Source organism: Homo sapiens, chromosome 20 (genome assembly GCF_000001405.40).
Source record: "Homo sapiens chromosome 20, GRCh38.p14 Primary Assembly".
NCBI classification, from domain to species: Eukaryota; Metazoa; Chordata; class Mammalia; order Primates; family Hominidae; genus Homo; species Homo sapiens.
Genome location: NC_000020.11, coordinates 52,424,586 through 52,449,013, shown reverse-complemented (window position 1 = coordinate 52,449,013; position 24,428 = coordinate 52,424,586). Strand labels below are relative to the sequence as shown.

The 24,428-nt window shown below is 40.7% G+C and overlaps 2 long non-coding RNA genes across 4 annotated transcripts in view; one reads left to right on the top strand and one right to left on the bottom strand.

Moving 5' to 3' along the window:
* LOC105372666 (uncharacterized) overlaps positions 1-24,428 on the bottom strand; it is a 483,513-nt gene that overhangs the window by 245,142 nt on the left and 213,943 nt on the right. The gene's annotated exons all lie outside the window — the stretch shown is intronic.
* On the top strand, positions 4,446-5,652 carry LOC107985427 (uncharacterized). Its single transcript, XR_001754673.2, has 2 exons — positions 4,446-4,763; positions 5,440-5,652. It is a non-coding gene; the product is annotated as an uncharacterized LOC107985427 (long non-coding RNA).

Here is a 24,428-nt window from a genome sequence, read left to right as displayed (position 1 = left end):
GCGGCCCCATATTGACAGAGCTTCCACATTTCAGAGGAAGGCAGAAATATTGATTTTCATGTAAAATCTCATGGTTTGTAAATACTGGCCCATAGAGAATTAATTTTTTTAATACATATAACTTTATAATTGCTGTGTAAGCCAAACAAAATATATCTGCAGGTCGAATTTCCTGGGCACCACTAATGTTGACCTATGTCCTAGTTGACCCCAGTTCCTAAACATTGTGGTGGGAGAAGATTCAGGAATCCTCTGCTGAGCATCAGATTTCATAACCCTGGCCTTGGATGCCCTCGATGAAGTCAAAGAACAACCCTCCAGGCGGGAGAAGTGTGGGCTTCCGCAACTTGGCTTGGAAATATTCCAGAGAGCTCTACCTCCACACCTCAGGCATGAGAGGCAGAAACTCTCAGGGCTTCACCTAAGCATTCCTCCTTCTTCTCCTTCTCCTCCACCCCCTAACACCCCTCCACCACCCAAACAGTATGCAAGGTTCAGGAAGATGGAAGAGAACTAAAAACAAAATCTCCAGAGTTATCTTTGGCAAAAGAAATAAAGGTATTCCCTCTAGCTAGTTCTTGTCCCAGTTTCAGATAAAAAGATTCTTTTTTTTTTTTTTTTTTTTTTTACCAAAGAACTACCTAATGATGGAGGGTGAGGGAAAGATATTTGCCACCCTACAAATAGGTTCTCTTTTTTTTTTTAACTTTTATTTTAGGTTCAGGGTTACATTTGCAGGTTTGTTATATAGCTTAACTCGTGTCACTGAGGTTTGATGTACAGATTATTTCTTCACCCAGGCACTAAGCCTAGTACCCAATAGTTATGGAGGTTGAGAGGAGGAAGCAAAACAAAACAAAAACAAAAGTTTTCCTTTGATAAGCCCAAATCTTCCCAACTCTATTACTAGATTCTCAAACTGACAGGTTTCAGGGAGAATCTGCCCTTCAAACAGTTTTATTTGACTAGCACAGGTAGTTTTGTTTTATTTGGCTTCTAACTTGTTTTTTCTTTTTTGAGATGGGGTCTCACTCTGTTACCCAGGCTGCAGTGCAGTGGCATGATCTTTGACCACTGTAACCTCTGCCTCCCGAGTTCCAGTGATCCTCCTGCCTCAGCCTCCCAAGTAGCTGGAATTATAAGCATGTGCCACCATACCTGGCTAATTTTTTTATTTTTAGTAGAGACAGGGTTTCACCTTGTTGGCCAGGCTGGTCTCGAACTCCTGGCCTCACGTGATCCACTATCCTCAGCTTCCCAAAGTGCTGGGATTACAAGCATGAGCCACCGTGCCCAGGCCTAAAATATCTTTAATTCTACCATGTGGGGGTATGTACTCTGGCTTGGCTAAATGGGCCACCACCCCCATTTGTCTCAAACCCTGTGGAGGCACTATGTGTGTTATCTGCCTGGCTTCTGAATTTGCTAAGGCAACTGAATTTGCTAACTCTCCACTTTCTTGTCTTTTCTCCATTCCTCTATTTATTCCTTTTAAAAGAAACCAGCCTCTAAATGAATTCTACAAGCTAGGTACAATGCATCTGAACCAATCACACGAAACTAGAACTACTGTGTGTAGGACTGCAGTAGGCACTGATGATGTAATAGTGAATAAAGACACAGGCCAGCTATGAGTGGGCTCAAGGTCATCATGGGAGAAATAAATTACCAAAGAGATAGGCTTACTGCCAAGTAGAAGCTGCTCCAGTATAGAGATGCTTGAGTGCTGGGAGACATGGGAAGAACTAGTTCTCACTGGATTTGGGGGGCTGAGGCCTCTCATCTTCTTTGGAGGCTGTTGCATGGTCATTCTGGATCTACTTATTTGTTTTTAACTGATTGAGATGACAACCAGGCTTGAATGAAGGAAATGTCATGCCATTTGAGGGGGGTGTGTAGTTCCTCCCTTATCATGGTTGGACTCAGCCATGTGCTTTGGCCAACGGAATGTAAGCTGATATGTACAGGCAGAAGTCGGCAGAGGGGGAAGCACTGGGGCAGAGTTGAGCTGAGTCATAACCATCCTGTATTTTTGGTTTCGTGAAAATGAATGTTTGTTATTGTAAGCCACTGAAATTCGAGGGTCGTTTGTTATGCAGCAAAGCTAATTAATGCACTAGCACAGTGTACTGACAACCATTGTTTTGTTAAGGAAGAAAAATGTTGACAATTTTCTGTTCAAATAACATCTGCACATCAGCGACCCACTTAGCAAAAATAAGAGGTATAGTTGCCAATATAAATTGAAAAAGGGACACATTGGGAAAGCCAATACTGAGCTCCTTATTTTTCCCCTGAAAATAGCGCACCTCCACTGATTTTGCCATTCGGTAAATGGTAACTCCGTCCTGCTTGTGGTTCAGGCCATAAACACTACGTCATCCTTGACTTTTCTTTCTCTCACACCTCACACCCAAATCGACAAGCGAATTCTGTTGACTCGACTGTTGAAATATATCATATATCTGGCCCCTTCTCACCAACTTCACTGCCAGGACTCTGACACCAGCCACCATGATGTCTGCCTGAATCACCGAATCACCACTGGCCTCCCAACTTCCTGCTTCCACTCTTCCCCAACAGTCTACCTTTTAACCAGCATCCAGAATAATGGTAATAAAACCAAACTTACAATATGGCCCTCTTTTCTTCCATTGACTCTCATCTCACTCAGAGTAAAAGCCGAAGACCTCGCCACAGCCCACCCAGTCTCATATTCTCTCCCTTGTTCACCTGAATCCAGCTAACTGATATCCTTGCTGTTTCTCCATCACGCCATACTTATGCCCACTTTGAAAGTTTTCATTTGCTACTTGTTATATCTGGACTGCTCTGCAAGGGAAACCTGTTGGCTTGTTTTCATTTCCTTCATTTCTTGGCTCAAATATCTCCTTATCAATGATATCTTTTCTGAAATTCTTGTGCAAAAGAGCAGCCCCATCCCCACTATCTCCCCTCCTGCCTTCTTTTCCCTCATTTGTCTCTCTCCATAGTACTTCTCACGACCTGATAAACTATACAGTTAGTTCTTTCCTGGTTCCTTCTACTGGAAGTAAGCCTCATGAGAATATAAATTTTATTTTGCCCACTACCTTATCCTCACCTCCTACCAAGGGCCAGGCACATTATAGGTACTCAAAATATATTTAACGGACAAATATTGGAATCAGGCAAATCTACATTTGAATTCTAGCTCTGACATTTATTGGCTGTGTGACCTTGGACAAACCACAACACCTCTCCGAACTTCTATTTAATCATCTGCTAAATGTGAAAACAATCACCTCCCTTCAAGGCTTCTTCAAGGTATAGAGGTAATGTCTTTTCAGGGCTCACACTGATACGGGGTAGATGTTATTAGAGACACTGCTTATTTCCCAACTCTCTGACATCCTTGTTCATCCTGCTCCACCAGCCCACGTTGGTCTGCCCACACCAAGCTCGCTTCCACCTGGCCTTTGCACTCACTGCTCCATCTGCCTGGAATACTCATCCCCAGATCTCTGTATCATGGGTTTCTTCTCATCACTCAAATTCCCGCTATGATGAGACCTCCTTACAGATGACATCCCAGCCATGCTGCCTCAACTCTCCATCAGTCACACCCCAACACATCATCAGTTTCTTTCCTCCATAGACTTATCACCTTATTAGTCATTTGCTTGCTTGCCCTCTGCATAGCTACCCTAACTAGAAGACAAACTCCAGAAGGAGCAAGCTCATATGTCATGTTCACCAACACTTCTGCAATACCTGGCACACAATACCCACTAAGCAAAGATAAGAGGTATAGATGACAATATAAATAGAGAAAAGGGATAAAATGGGAGGGCCAATACTGAGCTCCTCAAGTAAATATCTCTTGAATAAACAAAAAACTTAATGGAGAAAATGTACGCAGCAAATAATGTATATGCATAATAATCTGTTTTATGATTATCACAGTGAAATCCTAGTACCATATGGGTTGAGAATCAGGTGATGTTGTGGGAAGAGGGAACAGCAGAATGGCAACAAAATGTTGGAGGACTCTGCCTCCAAGGGATCTGGAAAGCATTTTATTTAAAAAAATAAAATAAAATAAAGTAAGAGTGTAAAGTATTTACTAAAATAGAAAATCATCAGTCGCACCCAGATGACACCAAAGACCTAAGAAAGCGAGGAATCTTTGGCCAGAATCACCATTCTAGTATTTACAAACAGCAGACTGCACTGCAAAGAGGAAGCAAAGAAACCTTGCTTAATTCACGTTAGAGCAGAAATATTTAAATACAGAGAGTCAGGAAATAATTATGACTAGATAACTCAGGCCCAGGTCATCTTCATTTCAATCCTAAATGGAGACAGTTTTGCCCTTTGGGCACAGAGACTGAAAGGCCTCCTCCCCTTTGGAATTCAAAACAGAAATGAAAAACATCACTCTAAAAAAGGTCAAGATTCAGGTTTCAGAGATTTGCCAGTGCAACTGGGAACCAGACATCAAAAAAAAATTAAAATACTACTTTCATTTCTGGAACCACTTGACACATCTGTAAGTGTCTAAATGTAGCCTGTATCATGGACTAACCCACTGATGAGATCGTAAAAGTTTTGTGAGCGGATACAGCCAAACTCTATCTCCCAGGATTCAAGGAAATCCTTTTGTTTTCTAAAGTCATTTCAAAGATGCTATTTATCATCCGTTGGGAGAATGAATATTGAAGCATCAGTGTTTTGCTTTCGGTCAGCTGTACAAGTCTACAAAGAGGATGCTAATCAAACTGGTGAGTACCTTGTCTTCACACTTGTTCAAATTAAAGACAGATATTGAGGTGAATTTCCCATCTAGAACAAGCAATGAAAATTCATTTCTTTCTACTCCTTTAGTGTTTCCTGTAATTCATGCTGATCATAGTGTATAGGCAGCAAGAAATGCCTGTAAAAAGGGCTTTTAAACTCTTAGTTGTTTGCAGAATATTAGTAACACTATAAAAAGTTTATGTTAATTAATGCTGCCTTTTAATAGATTTCCTGGAAGTTTGTAACTGTGTACTATAAAGGCTTTCAAGATAATGTATTATACAGTGGTTATCATAAACTCCAAAGCAGTTCAAATATTCCTTTTATGTCTCAATAACTTTCCCCCAAAAGTTACAGTATTTAAAAGATTCAAATGCAGAATAAAAAGAAAAAAATTTTTCCACCGGGGATATTTTAAACTTTTATATCTCTCATCATGCTCAATCTAATTTCTCGGCAACACTGTACTTATGCTTGCTTGTAAGCAAAAAGCCATCTGTACATCCTATCGGTGATACTGGGATAGACTGTCCTCTATAAAGTACAGGGCAGGTTTTACAGAGGGTAGCCAGTACAGACAACTCACAACTTTCATATGCCTCTGGACCAAGTCTCTCTATAGATGAACATCACTTATCATTGTTTATTTCTCTAAATTAGGCAAAAAGAAGCATTTACAGTTCAAAGAAGCCCCGTTTTTCATATTCAGCAGACGGATTAAAGGGAGAGTTTGACTGTGAGAGTTTCAAGAGAGATCGCATCCAAATTCAACTTCAACATTTGGTTTTAGGATGTTAAACTTAAACCCCAAAATGCAAGATCTCTGGGGATTTTTTTGGCAAAATAAATGCTTGGTTTCTCTTCTGTCCTAAAGGTTTTGGACATCCCATTCCAATATAAATCACCATTTCACAGGAAGGTAAACAATAAAGATTTTCTTGTAACTTTAAAGAAGGAAAATAACAAGTATCACCAAAAATAGAATTTTTAGAAAATGCAAATGACTTAAATTGTGACTACAAGTGAAAAAACTTAAAGAACAGAAAGCTGAAATTATACAGATTAGGTTCAATTTCAGTCTTTTGATATGGCCAGTAAATCACAAACATGGCTGCCCAGCTGTACTCTAAAAAATACACAATAGTAATACACGCACAAATATCTCACCTTTCTCCTGCCAAATTATACATACAGTATTATGGGTGCTTTGCGGCTCTCAACTAAGGTCTTGGAAGCTATGTATCTCTTACTTTTCTCCATTCCCTAAGTCCCAGTTATAAAACATTTGTCATTTGGGTTCCGTATCCGACAGCATCTGCATTATATTATGTTTAATCTCAACTCCAGGAAAAAAAATAACGTTTCCTGAACTTCTGAGCACTTATTATGATTTTTCCTTCAGAATTCTAAGCCCTCACAGTGACCTTAATTGAAGACTTTACTAGAATCCCCAAATGATCAAACTACAAGTTTATGTATATGTGTAGTATGTGTGTGTACACATTCACTTTGCCAGTTAACAGAGACCAAACGTGAATAATTCAAGGTTGCAAATATTTAGGAAAGTTAACAGCTGCCAAAACTCAAGTAACTTACCTGAGAATTACAATCATCAGTAATAGGGTAACCAACCATCCCAATTCACCGAGGACCAAAGGATTTCCGGGATGTGAGCTTTTAAGTGCTGCAGCCAATACAGTCTTGGTCAAACTGGTATGGTTAGTCACTCTGAAAGCTGCACAATGAAATTAGCAACAGAGATGTTTTAAAAGGAGAAAAACTCCAAGTTGCCTTAGCATCTATAATCCTACAAGGAAAAAAATACATATGCTTTGCTATTATTAATCCTGTATTGTGATCATCCTGAAATGCTTATTTGCACCACAAACTTTCTTAGACATTCAGTTCTCTCTCCCTCCCTTTCTTTCTCTCTCCCTCCCCTCTTTCTCTTTCTGCATTTCTTTCAAAGTCCAATTTTACAAATACCATTTTGAATCCATACCTCAGAGACTTCACTTCCATGTTTGCCAATAAGAATCTTCTGGTCCCCAAGTGCCACCCCCATCCCCCAATAATGTAAATACAATTAGTTGATTGAAAGCACATTTCATGTTTTGTTTCTCTCCTAAGTGTCTTGGTTATGAGGCCCACACTGTGTGAGGCATTCATGCCTGGTCCTCAAGGAAGAGCCAAGAGATGGAAGGGAAATACAGCCTGAGGAAAAAGTCTATAAAGATTTCTCGCTTTCCTAATCCCTTCTCTCTAATGTTTCTTTGTAAATTTGTCAGATGGGAATGAAATTGCCTCATAACTCTCCAGACGTGAAGAGCATCTCTGAAGAAAATTACGTACTTGTCAAAGCAAGGGGGAATTTATGTTGGTGTTCCTGAGATGTGATTTTATTCCGTCTATTTCCTTTGTGCACATCAGAGCAACAAGAGAGACAAAAAACAACGAGTTTATGGATATTTTTTTCACTCTGGTGCATTTTTTGCTTCTATTTTTCCCTTTTGTTTTCTTATTCCCCCCTCCTTTCATCTATGTTTATTGCCAGTGACAGTAAACTTCCATACAACAATGCTGTGATGATAGTAGCAATGATTTCTACCAGGATAAGGCAGTTCAAACAAGCACAAAGATGATTTCCCCATGGACAGTTCCAGAAGGTGTGGGTTACATTTTTGAGTCCTACCCAAAACTGGCCAGGGACGATTTGGATACAAAAGTCTTGTTAATGTTCCTTCCAAGCAGTGGCATGCTTCCTGAAATTAAATTCTTTTCCCTAGATTGCACATTATGGCTTGCACTTCCTGCATTTTGTTTTCTGAATTTAGAAGCTGCAGAATCTTGTTTGCTTGGTAGGTTCACTGTAAATGATACAGTAAAAGTAGCAGAAAATTTGGAGACAGCCACACCTGGGTTCAAATCCCAGCTCTTTGCCTACCTGGCTGGGGAAGATGTGCAACTTTTCTAAGCTTTTCTTATTGGTTCAACAGGACTGCCCACTTCATGTCACTATTTTAAGGGTGAGATGAGAGAGCTTCCAAAATGAAAAGCTATGTAGCTCTGCAGTTAGGAGCTGGGATTCTTGAATCACCAAGGAGTTTCAAGGTCACCTGGCTGTCCCCTCTCCTCTATTCCAAGCCAAGTGATCTTGGCAAATTAATCAACCTTCTGTTGCCTCAATTTCCTAATCTGTAAAGTGGGGACGGTAATAACACTGCTTCATAGAGTTCTTATGAGGATCCCATGAGTCAATGAAGCACTTGGGAATCTGCTTAGCATTTTATGGCTGTTTGCTATTTCATTATAACATATGCCAAGCATCTGGCACAAAGAATCCATTCAATAAATATTTTCCTTGTCCTCCTTTCCATAAGCTCTTTTTCCTTGAAAGCCTGTTATACTCCCTGTGTTTCTGCGACATCCTACACAAGGCCCATCTCGCCACAGGTGTTCCAAAATGAAGAATTAATTAATGTCCAGATGCCTTGTTATTGATGATATTCTATATATTTGGTTCATTTCCCTTGTGCTTTGCAGTACTTTTTAAATATTGAAGAAAATGAGGAAAACATTTTTCTTTTAATGTTCAAGTTCATCAAAAAAATGGTTCATTGAAAATTTTAAATAAAATGCATTAGGGAAAGGAGAAGACAAAACAAACACACACACATACATACACATACACACACACACACACACACACACACACACACAGCCTACTCTCAAACAAGCCAAGATTCTACAAGGCCACCATAAGTGCTATTTTGAATCTTTCTGGGAGCTGATTCTCACTAAATGAAAAATAAGACAAATATTGATGGGTGGGTCTAGAAGGATTGGTAAGATTTTTCCAGGGGGGTTCCTTGAGGAAGCATTAATTGGGAATCAGGACAACTGTACTAACTTCATCTATGTAAGTCATGGCTAAGGAGCCCCAGAGCTGAGATGATGAGCTTTGAGAACTTCCCCAGAATGACCCCACCTCGTGGGAGAGCAGTAATGTGCCTTCTCCTCCACCTCCGAAGAAGCTCTGTCTATGGCACATCTGAAATTCAACTGGAACGCAGAGGTTAAAAACAACCCAAGAGAAAGTTCTCACTGCATCCCAGACCTTACACCTGGAGAATCTTACAAATCAGTTATCATCATTGCACATGCTTTAATTAAGCTGACATGAATAAACTTCAGAAATTTCAGGATGCAGTAAGCATGGTTAAGTGCCATAGGGAATAGTTCTAGGCCTTCTAAATGCCAGCATAAGGGGAAAGTGGGTCTTCCAAAGATTGGGATACAAAAACAATTTTGTTTTTCTTCCGTGAGAGGGATGTTCAACCATTAAAGTAATTATAAGGCTCAGGGAAGACCTACCTTCCCTCCAAGACTATTTCCTCAGTCGTTCTGATCAGAACATATATTGTTTATTACTCCCTCGTTTACCAGCCCCCAAATATCATTACAATGTCTGTGCCGTGATATATGTATGGTTGTTACCCTTTTAATGGATAAAAAAAGATTTAAGTACTTCATTCTGTTGCATTTTGACAGCTGTTAGCCATCATTTTTCCATTCACCTGCATTTAGCAATCCCATAAAGGAAGGCAATCTTGGAAGGAACAAGAGCCGGGCACTGCAAGGTGATAATTCTGTATCACTCTGGCCTATAAATACCTGCCAAGCTTTGTGCTGAGTCAGCAGTCTGTGACGGAGCGGCAGCAGTGCCCTTTTATCTGTGTGAGTGTCTCACAGCAATTGGACCACCAGCCCCTGCAGTGAAAATCCATAGTATTGATCAGGCCATTTCTCCACTGTAATTCTTTTGTAGGAAATCCCTGATGACAAATTTTATCTGCACCACTTTTTGATTGCTGGTTTGATGTAAAGGATCTCTAAAGGCAGAGTTAAGCGCTGGGCCGTTCCACGTTATCAAGCGGCCGTTTTATTTACTGAAACTACAATTGTGGTCACATGCACACACAAAAAAAACGAAGAGAGACAGAGGGTACCAGGAGAAAAAAAAAATAGAACCAAATAATATTTCAAAGGGAACAGAAGGCAAAAGGGGGATAAGAAAATATTGCATCAGCTACTTTATTGGTTATCAAAGGCTGGTCCACATTTATAATTGCATAAAGAGGGGAAATGGTGTTTGGAAAATAATGCTGAGATGATGTAGGGTTGTATATTGAAATTTAGTTGGGTCTATTTTTCTCTCCACACTGCCCCTAGATTTCTCACCTCCCAGACTTGCTAAACTTCCTTAGTCTATGGCCCCAACATGTTAGGAGAATCTCTTTATCTGATGGTGTTAATCAGAGATTAGGATCAGGTGCGAATCTGAAGCCCAGGTGAACTTCTGTAGAATATCCAAACCTTCAACAAAAGAAAGGAAAGTTTACATAAGAAACTGTATCCTTACAAAACTGCTGGCCTTGCTGTTTCTGGGCACAAATGCAAAACGAAAAGAAAAGAAAATGTCCCTCCCTGGAGTCCACAGACTGATTCTTCCCCAGCTACAGACCCAAGGCAAGTTCTTTGAACCCCCAGGTGCTCAGAGTGCTGAGGAAAAGCTCCTCACTTAGCGTGCTGAGGTGAGCCACACATTCCTGCCTGCTGTAGCTGGGTTTCTCAGCTTCAGCCCTGGGAATATTTGGGGTCGGAAAATCCTTTGTTGCAGTAACTGTCTTGTGCACTGTAGGATGTTTAGCAGCATGCCGGCGTCTACCACTAGATGCCAATAGCACTCCCATCCCCCAGTTGTGACAACCAAAACTGTCCCCAGACATTGCCACGTGTCCCCTAGAGAGAGGGGCAAAATCACCCCACCGTGAGAAGCAGCACTTGTCAGGGCTGGGGAGTGGAAATGAGTAGAGAGAGAGAGAGGTGTTCACAAAGCAAGAGATACCTTGAGCCTTCCCATTCGGTTACACACAAACAGGAGTGAAACAAATCATCATTTGCACCATAAACCAAAGAACAGCTAAGCGAATGTCTCCATTTCAAGAGTTGCAAACTGGATTCTCTTAGCCCAAATTCTGCCTACAGAAAAGTTTTATTTGGCCAACAACTTTGGGAATGGGATTTGAGGACTTTTGGTGAGACCTCCAGTCTGCAGCTCTGGGGACACACCGCCACCCCAGTAACTTAAAACTGACTCACACAATTAAGTTACTGCAGCCCTTAAAACCTACATATGCCTAGTGTTCCATTATTGGAACGCTAAGCTTGTGGGAGTTATTTATATCTTACTGCTCAAGATCATCGCCAAGGTCTGATTTTTCACACACAAAAAAATTTGCAACCTCCGGCATAAATGGATTAAGGCGTGTGTGGCCTACTCCATTCTCTTGGTGATATTTCTAGTACAGTGGTTCTCAAGTGGGAGTGAGTCTGCCTCCCAGTAAACATCTAACAATGTGTGGAGATGATTTTGGTTGACACAACTATGGCAAGGAGATGAGGGCTGAGGGGATTCGCTACTGGCATCTGGTAGGTGGAGGTCAGGGATGCTGTTGAACACCCTACAATGCACAGGACGGTCCCCACTACAAAGAAGTACTCCATAGTGCCGAAGTGGAGAGATGCTGCTTGAGCTGATCCTGATCTGCCTGCTAAGATCTGTGTTTCCATCTGATAGAAGCCAGAAAGATAATCTTCAGTCTATACACAGAGCAACCATGCTAATGGTATCTACCTCTCACTTTGATCAAGCAGGGACATGGGTGGCTCTTAAAAGCACCTGCCCTGCTTGGCTGGGTCCCTCAACGTGAGGTAGGAAAACATCACCATCCTTCATGCCCTGGCCCTAAGAGATGCTACTTCAACGGGAATGTTCTCAGACCTGGTTCCCTATCTGAAAGCAGCAGCGAGAGAACGTAGAAAGCTCCGCCTTCTTCTAACTTCACGTCCACGCATGAGCATTTGCTCAAGGAACTCACTCAATGGTGCTGAGATGGTGTTAGGTGATTGGATTCCTTCCCCCAGTTTTATCATGGAAAGGCCGCCAGACTTGAGGGAAGTTTATTAAATAGCTTAAAACTGCACTGCAGTGATGACACACAGTGCTACTTATGGAAGATGACCTCTGCTGGGATTTTTATATGTGATCCCAAGGTCCTCCATACTGATGTCTACAGAGGTTAAGTGGAAGTCACAGGCCAATGAAGCTGTAAAGTATAGGCGGAGAGGGAGGGTTGGAAGAGTTAGAGAAATAAAGGATGCTTGGTGACATTTGAGTTTCAGATAAACAAATGATTTTTAGCATATGTCTCATAATTTCAGAAAAACAATAAATCAGTCTTTTAGTATAAGTATATCCCAAATATTGCATGGGATATACTTATGCTAAAAAAAAATTGTCTGACATTCAAATTTATCCAGATGTCATATCTTTTCTACTTGCTAACTCTGGCAACCCTAGTTCAGGGTAAACTGGAGATAACTTCCATCTTCTGGTTTGCAGATTTGACTAAATGTTACCACTACGGAAGACATAGCTAGCCCCAGGTTTGCCAGGTCTTCTGATTTTCATAAGGGGAAAAAAAATCAGATTTTTTCATGAAATCTAGCGATTTTAGAATGTTGGCAACTAATTTTTTTAAAAAAAAATCTAACAATGCCAGATGGAGTAAAGCAAGCAGGTCTGCAGGCTGCCTTCAGCTCGGGGGCAGGCTCACAGTGCAGCAGTAGAACAGGGAACATTTACTGAGTCTTTATACAAGCCAGACGCTGTTCTAAGGGACTCACTAAGTCCTCTCATCCACTGGGAGGGATAAATGATTATCATCATCTCCATGCAGTACATCAGGAAAGTGAGGTCCAGAGAGTGGAATTATTTTGACAAAGGTCCCACAGTTCGTAAGTGGCATAGTTGGGGTTTAAAACCAAGCAGTCTTTGCCAGAGTCTGTTTTTGGGCCCATCACACTGAACCTTTTCAGAAGAAAGCTTCCCATAGGGCACAATAATTATAATAAATTATAATAAAGGTAGTTCTGAGTTTCTCCTTCCAGACACCAATTATGTCCTCCCCACGGCCTGAATGGAGTCAGTAACAGCACTGTGCATGGCCAGCTCGGAGCCTAAGGCTAAAGGAAAAACTCAGTAATACTGACCCTGCCTTTATCTAAGACGTTGATATTTTCTTCTTCATGGATTTAGAGATTTTAATATTAATTTAATGTTTTAATGTTATACTATTATATGCTAATAACGAAGATTTTTTTTGGTGCCCCCTTAAATTTTTCGTCCAAAGTGAGTGATTCACTTATGTCACCTGCCTCTCTCAAAGAATAGCATTTCCATGTTTCTGGATAGCTTTTCAGATTATGGAAGTTTCATGAGGGAAAGTTTTTTCATACTCAAAGGTATCCATTGCCTCTTTATTCAAAACAGTGAGAACACTAGCAATAACCGCAATGTTCAGCAGAGAGGAGTTGGTTAAGTGAATTACAATATACCTATATGAAGAAATAGTATACCATTAAGAGGATACTTACAAAGAGGTTTTAAAATGATACTTAAATAATAAAGTGAAAAAAGCAAGATAATAAAATTATATTTGCAACATGATCTAAAAAATGCTTTAACAAATAGAAGAAAAAAATGAAAACACTGGAGGAAAACACCGCAAAAGGTGGCAGCTTTTTCGTCTGAGGGACAGTATGGGTGATTGTTTTTTCTCTTTTTTTTTTTTTTTTTTTTTTTTTGAGATGGAGTCTTGCTCTTGTCACCCAGGCTGGAGTGCAGTGTCGTGGTCTCGGCTCACTGCAACCTCCGCCTCCCAGGTTCAAGAGATTCTCTTCCTCAACCTCCCGAGTAGCTGGGATTACAGGCACCCACCACCATGCCTGGCAAATTTTTGTAATTTTAGTAGAGACGCAGGTCTCACCATGTTGACCAGGCTGGTCTCAAACTCTTGACCTCGAGATCCACCCTCCTTGGCCTCCCAAAGTGCTGGGATTACAGGCGTGAGCCACTGCACCCGGCCGATAGTTTTTTCTTTCTTCTTAAAGATAGACTAGTATCCTAAAAAAGCTGAATATGAGTTTTGGAATCAGGCAAGGCTGTGTTTAAAATCTTACTACGGTATCCACTTTGGGCAAGCTGCTTAATTTCTACCTGCTTAAAACTAGGTACCTCAGAGATTTGTTAGGAGTCCTTAAAATTAGGTGACTGGGTGAGTGCCTCTGTGTGTGTGTGTGTGTGTGTGTGTGTGTGTTATGTAGATGGACACACACATGCTCATATTTAATAATTTGCACATTTCTGAGTAAAAGTGATGCTCAATAAGTGATGCTCAAACATACATTTTCATTAGTTGCCAAATTTTGATGAAAAACCTATATAAGTATTAGAGTCAGAAGAAAATAAACCACAGAAAAGACTTTGAAAGTCCCTAACAAAAAGCAAATCCCCTTGGTAGAGTTAGCTATCACTGGGCACTTCCCAGGATGCATATCCCATGGGGAATGGACACATTTGAGATGTCTGCGGAGATGGATGAAGAGAAGGATGCAAGGATGGGAGGATTCCGGGACCTGGGGAGTCTCGAGCAGACTCAGCTCCTCAGCTGCAAGCAGGCACCAGTCTTCCTCTCCTTACAAGAGATGTTACCTTCTCCTGTTTCAGGAACCGGAAGGTGTTTCCTCGTCTCACTCCCCTCCAATCTAGGTGGCACTCCCTTTCTACTGAACTAGCTTCATAATCCACAATAGAATTCACCTGCTCATCTCACTCCAGCTCTTCCCTCAACAGCAGGCCCCTGAGCCACTGGAGGAAGGAAAGAAGAGGAAGCATTTTCAAATAAAAAGTGAGGATGGAAAATGAGAAATCACCCAGAAAATGCCATTTTCCATTATTCGGTAGCTCTGCTACCTCCACTCCCAATTATGACTAAGGCATCTCCAGATTTGGAGTCAGAAATTACGGGCTGTGGGCCAAATCCAGCCCACTGCCTATTTTTGTAAATAAAGTTTTATTGCAACACAGCCACTACCATGGTTTGATTGACTGCCTCCAACTGCTCTCTTTCTACACAGACAGGGTTGAGTAGCTGCAATGGAGATTAGCCAACCCTCAGAGCCAAAAATATTTACTATCTGGCCCTTTACTGAAAATGTTAGCTGACCCCTGAACTAAACCAATGAATAAATGAACAAAGCTTAGTTGAAACATTTGTATTATGTGGTGGTTAAGCAATAAACTGAATAGGTCAAGAAATCTATTTCCCGTTTCTCATTTCTTCTGAGGCAGATGATCTAACAAACAGCCCAGAGCAGGTGGTATTTTGTGGACAAAATACAAGGCCATATGTTGAGCCAATCATAATGGGAGTAAATGTGTCACTGACAACAGGGGAGAAGAGTAAGACTGTGTTAACTTTTAGCCTTGCCCGTATTCCATTCAGAAAGCTAATCATGTTTCAATTGAGAATCCTATGTTTTCCTAGAATGACCAATATATGAAAAATGTTGACTGAGCCTGGGCTCCCCTAATTGAAATCCACATTGGTTTATGTGATTAAACACACTGTCATTTCTTGTCTATACTAACAATTATGCCAACAGGAAGCCTCAGTTCAAAGACTAACACTAATAATCAATAGAGTCAACAGATTAGGGCAAGAATCAGCAAAAGTTTCTGTAAAGTGCCAGAGTGTAAATATTTTTGGCTTTGCAGGCCACACAGTCCATTTTGCAACTATTCAACATAGCACTAAAGCACCCACAAAAGCAATAAGTGAGTGTGACTGTGTTCCAATAAAACTTTATTTATAAACAGAGGTGGCAGGCCAGATTTGGCCCATGGTTCATAATGTACCAACCCTAGAATGCAGAGGGTTGCAAACTCAGTTTGCTACAAGGGCCAGGAAGTAATATGAGTTAATGAAGTGAGTTTTGTATATTGCAATACTCCATTGTCAGCACTATATTTCAAACACTGCATCCAAATGAACTACTTTAATTTTCACAGTGGTTGGCTAAAACCAAGTAGCTTCCCCCTTCTTTCTGGACCTTGAATTTGCCTTATACAGCTAGAAGGAGAGGCTGTGATGCACTGCAGAGTACAGGCCCTCTCTCAGAAGGTGGCTTTTAATCACTTGCCTGATTAATTAAAAAAAGAATCTAGATTTTCTGCTTTATATGTAAAATGCTGGCAATACATTCCTTTTTTTTTTTTTTAATTTGGAGAGGATAAAAAAAACCATATGTGTGATTCAGGATTTCTCAATCTTGGAAATTCTGACATTTTGGGCTGGATTATTCTTTGTTCTGGAGTCAGGCGCTGATCCTCCCATAAGTTGTGACGAGATATTTTCAAATGTCCCCTAGGAGGCAAAGTCACCTCCTGTTGAGAAACACAGCTAGAGTTGTTGGAAACTTTGATAATTATTCATCTCTGCTTGGTCTACATCTCTCAGTATTTGCCTACACACATCCCTTATTTTTAAAATATATTTTGCTTGGCTTTTCCTTCATTCCCTTTTTGAAGAGAAAGAAAATAAGAAAAGATTGGAAAGAACAACCAAAAAAAAAAAAGCAACATTGAGAGACATTAAGAAGATGTGAAAAAACACAGAAGTGGGCCAAATGACAATGGAAAATGAAGATTCAGGGGGAAAATGAGAAATCAGGTGTTAAACACACTAATCTCAACATATAAGACCCAGTGATCAGAAGGAGAAAACCATCCTAGAGAGTGAAATTGATTTTTTTCTTTAAAATAATTCCAAGACCCTCATGTTTAACTTGGACACACATTCTTCATGTAGTGATTCACAACTAATGAAATCAGGAACAACCAGTATTCAGATACTGCCTTTATGAGGTTTCAGACAAATGCTATAGATCATTCTCCATTCATTCTTCTTTATATCAATCACAAATTCATTTCTGCATTCAAAATGTTTTTACTTTGCTTGGGAGCATTCATAATATTTGTGTGATATCAGTGCTGCTCTTATATTGCAATACTCTATTTCAACATGGTATTTCAAACTCTGCATCCAGATGAACTACTTTAATTTTCACAATGGTTGGCTAAAACCAAGTAACTCTCCCCCTCTTTCTGGACCCTGAATATGGTTTATAAACCAAAGCTTTTCAGTTATCACCATGAAAATTAAATTCTGTCAAGATGTAATTTATAGTCTTCTTTGTTGGTGTCAGAAGAAGAAATCCTAATGGGCAAATGTGTGCATTCTAATGGAGGAGGGAAGTATTTTTATATAAGTGAGGTGTGTTTAATTCCTGGTAATTTATTCCCACCTCATGGTGGGAATCTTCTGCATTCAGACTAGAGATTGGTGTATCTTACCCCAGCCAGGTGTATTGCAGAGGAGCTGAAGGACAAAAATGTCAAAGTTTCAGCTTTTGAGTTTCAAAGCCAAGATCCAAGAAAAATTTTTAAAATGTATAACAAGGCCAGATGCAGTAACTCACGCCATAATCCCAGCATTTTGGGAGGCGGAGGTGGGAGGATTGCTTGAGGCCAGGAGTTTGGGACCAGCCTAGGCAACATAGCAAGATTCCATCTCTACAAAAATAAAATAAGATAAATAATATGGTTTGGCTATGTGTCCCCACCCCAATCTCTTCTCAAATTGTAATCCCCACCTGTTGAGGGAGGGAGGTGACTGGATCATGAGGGCGGTTCCCCCATGCTGTTCTCATGATAGTGAGTGAGTTCTCAAGAGATCTGATGGCTTTATAAGGTGCTTTCCCCGACTCTTGCTCAGCACTTCTCCTTGCTGCCGCCATGTGAAGAAGGACGTGTTTGCTTCCCCTTCCGCCATGATTGCAAGTTTCCTGAGGCCTCCCCAGCCACGCTGAACTGTGAGTCAATTAAACCTCTTTCCTTTATAAATTACGCAGTCTCAGGCATTTCTTTATAGCAGTGTGAAAACAGACTAATACAACAAATAAGCTGGGCATGGTGGTATGTGCCTGTAATCCGAGCTACTTGGGAGGCTGAGGCAGGAAGATTGCTTGAGCCCAAAATTTTGAGGTTTTATATATATATATATATATATATATATATATATATATATATATATGAACATATGATAAGGTAGAGCAAGATTTTTTCCCATCCAATAAGAGACTGGGAGAGGAAGAGGCAAAGCAAATAGATTTAGATGCTGGTGGAACTGTAGGTCCCTGGAATGTCAGGAATGGGTCGCTGAATGTTAGGCCCCCCATCTACACAGACATATTCACAGGACTTATACACATACATATGCTGAATAGCCCCCAAACAGAGGGGAGTGATAGAAACCCCAGAGAATTTCAAAGAATACAAAAGGAAAGGATGCTGGAGCTTGCTCCCTGGGTGGAACTCAAAGAGGTGGTGAGGTTTGTGGACACATTCTTAGTTATAGAACTGGGCCTGGGGAAGTTCCCAACACATAGGCTTGTCCAGACCAGTGTGCCCAGAGTGGCCTTTTTCTCTGTTTCTCTGTGTGGCCGGAAATAATGCAACACGCACGAGAGCAGGTAGATGAACTGGGTCGAGACATACAGAATGCAGGAACCATACATGTGAACTGTGCAGCCAGAGACCCAGTGGCAATATTCAGGACCGCCCTCCACTGGAAGCCAGTATACACGATGGACATTCAAGTCACTGCTGTTCCTGTCCCTACAGCAGTCCTACCTATACCCCCTTAGAACATGCATGCCTCTCCATGGTGTTATGAGCTGAACCGTGTTCCCCCAAAATTCACATGTTGAAACCCTAGCCCCGAGTATCTCAGAAAGTGACTATATTTAGAGATAGGGTCTTTTAAAAATGATTACATTAAAATGAAATTCTTAGAGTGGGCCCTAATCCAATTTGACTATTAGACTTATTAGAAAAAGAAATTATTTGGGAGTTTTTTGGAAATTTCTTCTTTTTTCTTAAATTTTATTTTATTTTAGGTTCAGGGACACGTGTGTAGATGTGTTACATAGGTAATTTGCATGTCACGGGTGTTTGGTGTACATATTGTTTCCTCACCCAGTTTTTTGATCCCCTCCCTCCTCCCATCCTCCACCCTCAAGTAGGCCCCAGTGTCTGTTGTTCCCTTCTTTGTGCCCGTATGTACTCCGTGTTTAGCTCCCTCTTATAAGTGAGAACATGTGGTGTTTTGTTTTCTGTTCCTGTGTTAGTGTGCTTAGGATGACAGCCTCCAGCTCTACCCATGTTGCTGCAAAGGACATGATCTCATTCCTTTTTATAGCTGCATAGTATTCCATGGTGTGTATGTGTATGTATATGTGTGTATATATATATATATATATATATGTATATATATAATCACATTTTCTTTATCCAGTCTACCATTGATGGGTATTTACGTTGAGTTCATGTCTTTGCTATGGTGAATAGTGCTGCAATAAACATACACATGTGTGTGTCTTTACGGCAGAACAAGTTATATTCCTTTAGGTATATACCCAGTAATGAGATTGCTAAGTCGAATGATAATTCTACTTTGAGTTTTTTGAAAAACTGCCAAAATGCTTTCCACAGTGGCTAAACTAATTTCCACTTTCACCAGCAGTGTATAAGCATTCTCTTTTCTCCACAACCTCACCAGTATCTGTTATTTTTTGACATTTTAATAATAGCCATTCAGACTAGTGTGAGATATCATCTCATTATGGTTTTGAATTGCATTTCCCTTATGATTAGTGATGTTGAGCAGTTAAGAAAAAGAAATATGGAGATACAGAGAGAAACCAGGCTGTGGTACATGCACAGACAAAAGACCATATGAGGACACAGGGAAAAGGCAGCCATCTGCCAGCCAAGGAGAGAGGCCTCAGAGGAAATCAAGCTGGTAACACCCTGATCTTGGACTTCTAGCCTCCATAACTACGAGAAAATAAATTTCTGTTGTTTAAACCCTCTGTCTCTGGCATTTGATTATGGCAGCCCTAGCAAACTAATACATTAGGAGAAAGAATTTGAAGCAGGGAAGAAAGACCCTTAGTTAACTGAGAAAAGTTGGTGTATCAGTCAGGATAAGCTAGGCTATGGTGTGGTAACAAACAGTCCCAAACTTTAATGGCTGGAAATGAAGGCTTATTCTTGTTCATGAAAAGCCAACTCTAGGCCCAGAAAACTCTCTGGGGAATCTGTGATTCATGTGGCAGCACAGCATCTGAGGCTACTTCAATTTTGAGGTATTTGTCTGTCAATATGTCCTTCCACAACCGAAGGTAAAGGAAGAGAGAACACGGACAATTGCATACAAACTCTTCAATGCTTCCACCCAGAAGTGACTCATTTCTGCTCACATTGCATTGGGGGAAACTGTCATATTGTCATACCTAACTTCAAGGAGGTAAGGAAGTGCCATCTTCTCATGCACCCAGAGGAAGAGAAGAACAGGAGTTATTGATGAAAATTTACATAAAGATAACATAAACATATTGATCTAGATTATCTGGAATTAACTGGAAATTAAATAACTAACTTCTGGCAGGTCATGGTGGCTCATGCCTGTATTCCCAGCTCTTTGGGATGCCAAGGAAGGAGGATCACTTGAGCCCAGAAGTTTGAGAACAGCCTGAGCATCATAGTGAGACCCATCTCTACAAAAAAAATTAAAAATTAGCCAGGCATGGTAGCATGCATCTGTAGTCTCAGCTACTTGGGAGGCTAAGGTGGAAGAATGCTTGAGCCCAGGAGGTTGACACTACAGTGAGCTGTGATTGTGCCACTGCACTCCAGCCTGGGTGACAGAGCAAGACTTTGTCTTAAAAACAAACAAACAAATAATTTCCCACCTCCTAATAGAATAGGGGCTCAGAAGATAAAACACATTTGGTTAAAGAAAAATAAAGTTACATTGCTTTATGTGATTTTGAGATTCCTAACACAAATCTAAGGTCAGGACACTTAGATTTCCAGAATTGTAGCATTTCCATCATGTACCAGTTATCTATTACCATAATAATTCTATATCACAAACAACCACAGAACTCAGTGGTTTAAAGCAATGTCCATTTGTTTTAGTTTACAAGTCTGTAGATTGGCTTAGTATGTCCTCTGGACTAAGGCCCAACTTCTATCAGGCAGAGCTGACCTATGCACCTTGGTCAACTAGCAGGCTGGCTGGAGGTGGCTGGTCTACGATGTCCTGTGTAGGAAGGACTCAGCTCTCTTTCATACCCATTCTCATCTTCTAGCAAGTTGGTCCAGGCTCATTCTCAGGACTGTACAAGGTTCTGAAAAATTGAGCGCAAGAGAGACAGAAACAGAAACAAAGAGCAAGAGAACTGAGTAGCTTCGAAACAGCACCCCATCACTTCTGCCACATTCTATTGGCCAAAGCAAGATGCAAGAGCAGTAAATATTCAAGAATGTTCAATATTCGAGAATATTCAAGAATTCAAATTTCAAATATTCAAGAATATCCAAGATCTCTACCTCCTAACAGGAGTAGCTTGCAAAAGGTATAGATACAAAGAGGGATGGAGAATTGGGGCCATTTTTATATCAATCTAGCACACATATAGAAGGAGACTTAACTCAAAGGCCCAATAGTTCTTAAACTTGAGCATACATCAGAATCACTGAGACTGCTTGTTAAGAAACAAACTGCTCAGGCCAGGTGCGGTGGCTCATACCTGTAATCAAGAAACAAATCACGGAGAGACATTCCCAGAGTTTATGACTCAGTAGGTCTGGGGCCCAGGAATTTGCATTTTTTATTTTGTTCCCTGCTGATACCAATGCTGCTGGCCAAAAGCTGACAGTTGGAGAACCACTACAATAGCCTCTCTTGCAAATTAGAAAAATGGGAGACGTAAAAGAATCACCTGTATATACCATGCTTAAGCCAATGCCAGAAGTAGCCCCCACATTTCCAGCCTGGGCTTTCTTTCCACAACACCTCAATCCACTCTACGAGTCATTGCCTTTTCTTTGTTCGCCTCTGCCTTGAATATTGCCATTATTTTTATTATCATCATTAGCAACGATTAAAAAGATTGAGGCATGACAAGGTGTAACATTCTGTCAAAGGCATATTAAAAGCTCTGCCTGAGAGGCCTAGTCTCAATCACAGCCAGACATGTAGTACTCTGCCTGGGCAACCCCCACGATATCACTCTTAAATTAAGCAGTCCCTGTCAACTAAGCCATTAATCTACTCAAGAGGTTAGATGTGTCCCTATGAGTCACATGTGAGCTCAGTGTTCCCAGGTGAGAATGCAGTAGCTCCACCTACATTTTCCCCATCTAAACAGACGGTTTTCATTATGTCTTTTGTCAGTCACCACAAGGGACAGTCTCTGTAGAAGTAATATGACATTTCCCTATGTAACCATGCTGTATATCAGATTCTCCTAATTATTCCCTCTACCAATATGCCTTGTTCTTGGACCACAATGTCTGCATGGAGTCCTCCTCACTGAGTTGTTTTAATGTCACGTGCTTGGATTTTCTTGAACAATGCTACCAAGTACTATCCCATGAAAATCACCATTCTGTTTGATGTTTAATTCAGCTATTCCCCTTGCCCCTGTGTGAGGTGCTGCTCAAAATTCAGGTTTATAAAATATTCTTCGTCAAAAGGATTAGAAATACTTTGGATTTTCTTTGAGAAAATGAGAATTATGGAACCAGTTGTTCCATTCATCCCCTTTTCTCTTGGCTAGCAGGAAGCTCAGAGAAAACTATGAAGCTTGATAGTAGTCAAGCTTGGTGATATACTTACTGGATTATTTTGTTATTCATTTTTTATTTTGTACTTTAATTTCTACCTTCCCTGACCCCAAATTTCCATTTTTATTGTTTTACATTTCTTGCTGCTTTTGTGTGTGTGTACTACCTCATTTCCCTTTAGGAAAAAGTAGGTTACAAATAGTATAAACACATTATCCATATTCCCAAGTCAAAGAAAACATTGATTAGCTATTAGCCAACAAGCTTAAACCCTCAATTAAGTGTCTTGGTATGTGGGGAAGGGAGGAGGAGAATGAGAGGAAATAAGAGACATTTTCACTGGAGGGAAATAAAAAATGAATCTTAAGAAAGCTCATTTTTATTTCACAGGACCAAGAAAATTTAGAAAAGCAAGAAGTCAGAGCTGGAAGTAACTCCACGTGACTTTGAAACCCCTTCTCTGCACCAACACAGGACAAAGAATTCACCTGCGATGCTCCAGAAACTCCAGAATGTGGCCTGGCAGGCTCTGCCCCAGCCAGGGCTCAGCGGTTTCCACCTTCCACAGCACTCAGAAAACAAAATATTCCAGTTAAAATGCACTGTACAGTGTTATATTACCCTGATGCAAGATTTATGAAGTGTTTATGCGGTTAATTGAGAACAGACGCAGACAAAAAAGTAAAAAATACCTTTAGTCTTACTTTATTTTAATGAAATCCAGATAAGAGGGAGAGTTTTTGTTTTGTTTTGTTTTGTTTGGTCAATTTGTCTTTAGATAATTTCACATGAAAAAGCAAATATTTTAGGCATCGGATACTCTTCTGATGGTTCCCCTTTATATGAAAAGAGTGACCACATATCCAGAAGGTCCAATAGCCCATGATTTTGGATCATTTAAAAATACTGATATTCTTCTTGGACCATTTAGTATGTGATCCTTTCAGACATATTTCTTTCTAAACCTCACTCTGTCATTTCCCCCAAAGACGGACAGATGATGACAGCCAAGGAGTGATGTAACCAGTGTGGAGCATCTCTCAAGGCGATGGAAACAACGTGAACACTGCAAGCGTGAGGAAACAGGAGACGCCATCATTTCATCAGGGAAAGTAAGCACAAACCTGCAGGAGGCGTCCTCGTGGAAACTTCTTCCTTGTCGTGTTACAATTTCTGTTGACTCATCCCAGCTCAGGGGATGCAGAGCCGCAGGAGTACACAAAATGATAAGGTTTTCCTTTCAATTTAAAAGTCATGTTTGAAGCATTTCATTAAGAAATTGTAGAGAAAAACTCATCTCTCATTAAACATGATAGGAAAGGCTTCAGACATACTTTTTCCATTCATCTTCTCATTATGGGAAATGCTGCTGCCTGTGTCACTCAGGTATAAACTAAAAGGTCAGTTCTTTAGCAAGGAGGCTTTGTAATCTGTTAGAAAACACGGTGACAACACCCCCAGTGCATCCTCCTGATTGTCGCTTCAGTTGGCCCATGACTTCTCTCTCCCTGCTCCATACAATGCAGTTGCATTTTTGAGGAAAAAAGTTTCTCTTTTTTCTCACTGTTTAGATTCTCCTAAGCTTAATATTTTTAAAACGTTAGCTCCATCTCACCCCTAATCCAAGAGATCCTCATCTACGTCCCAGAGTACAGGTTGATGATGATTCCCAGTATCATCTCCAAGCACATCACCTCCAGAAACTTTTCTCAAATGTTCCTTTGACCCCTCCCTACAGGCCATCAAGGCCCACTGCTCCTGCCTCTGGATGTTTTAACCCCCAACTTGTCTATAACACTCACTTTCTATGACAGTATATTATGGGCATATGCATGTGCAGACGAGTAAAGGTGGATGCAGGTAGGCACAGGTGAGTGAAGGTGAGCGCAGGTAGGCACAGGTGAGTGAAGGTGGGCGCAGGTAGGCACAGGTGACTGAAGGTGGGTGCAGGTAGGTACAGGTGAGTGAAGGTGGGTGCAGGTAGGCA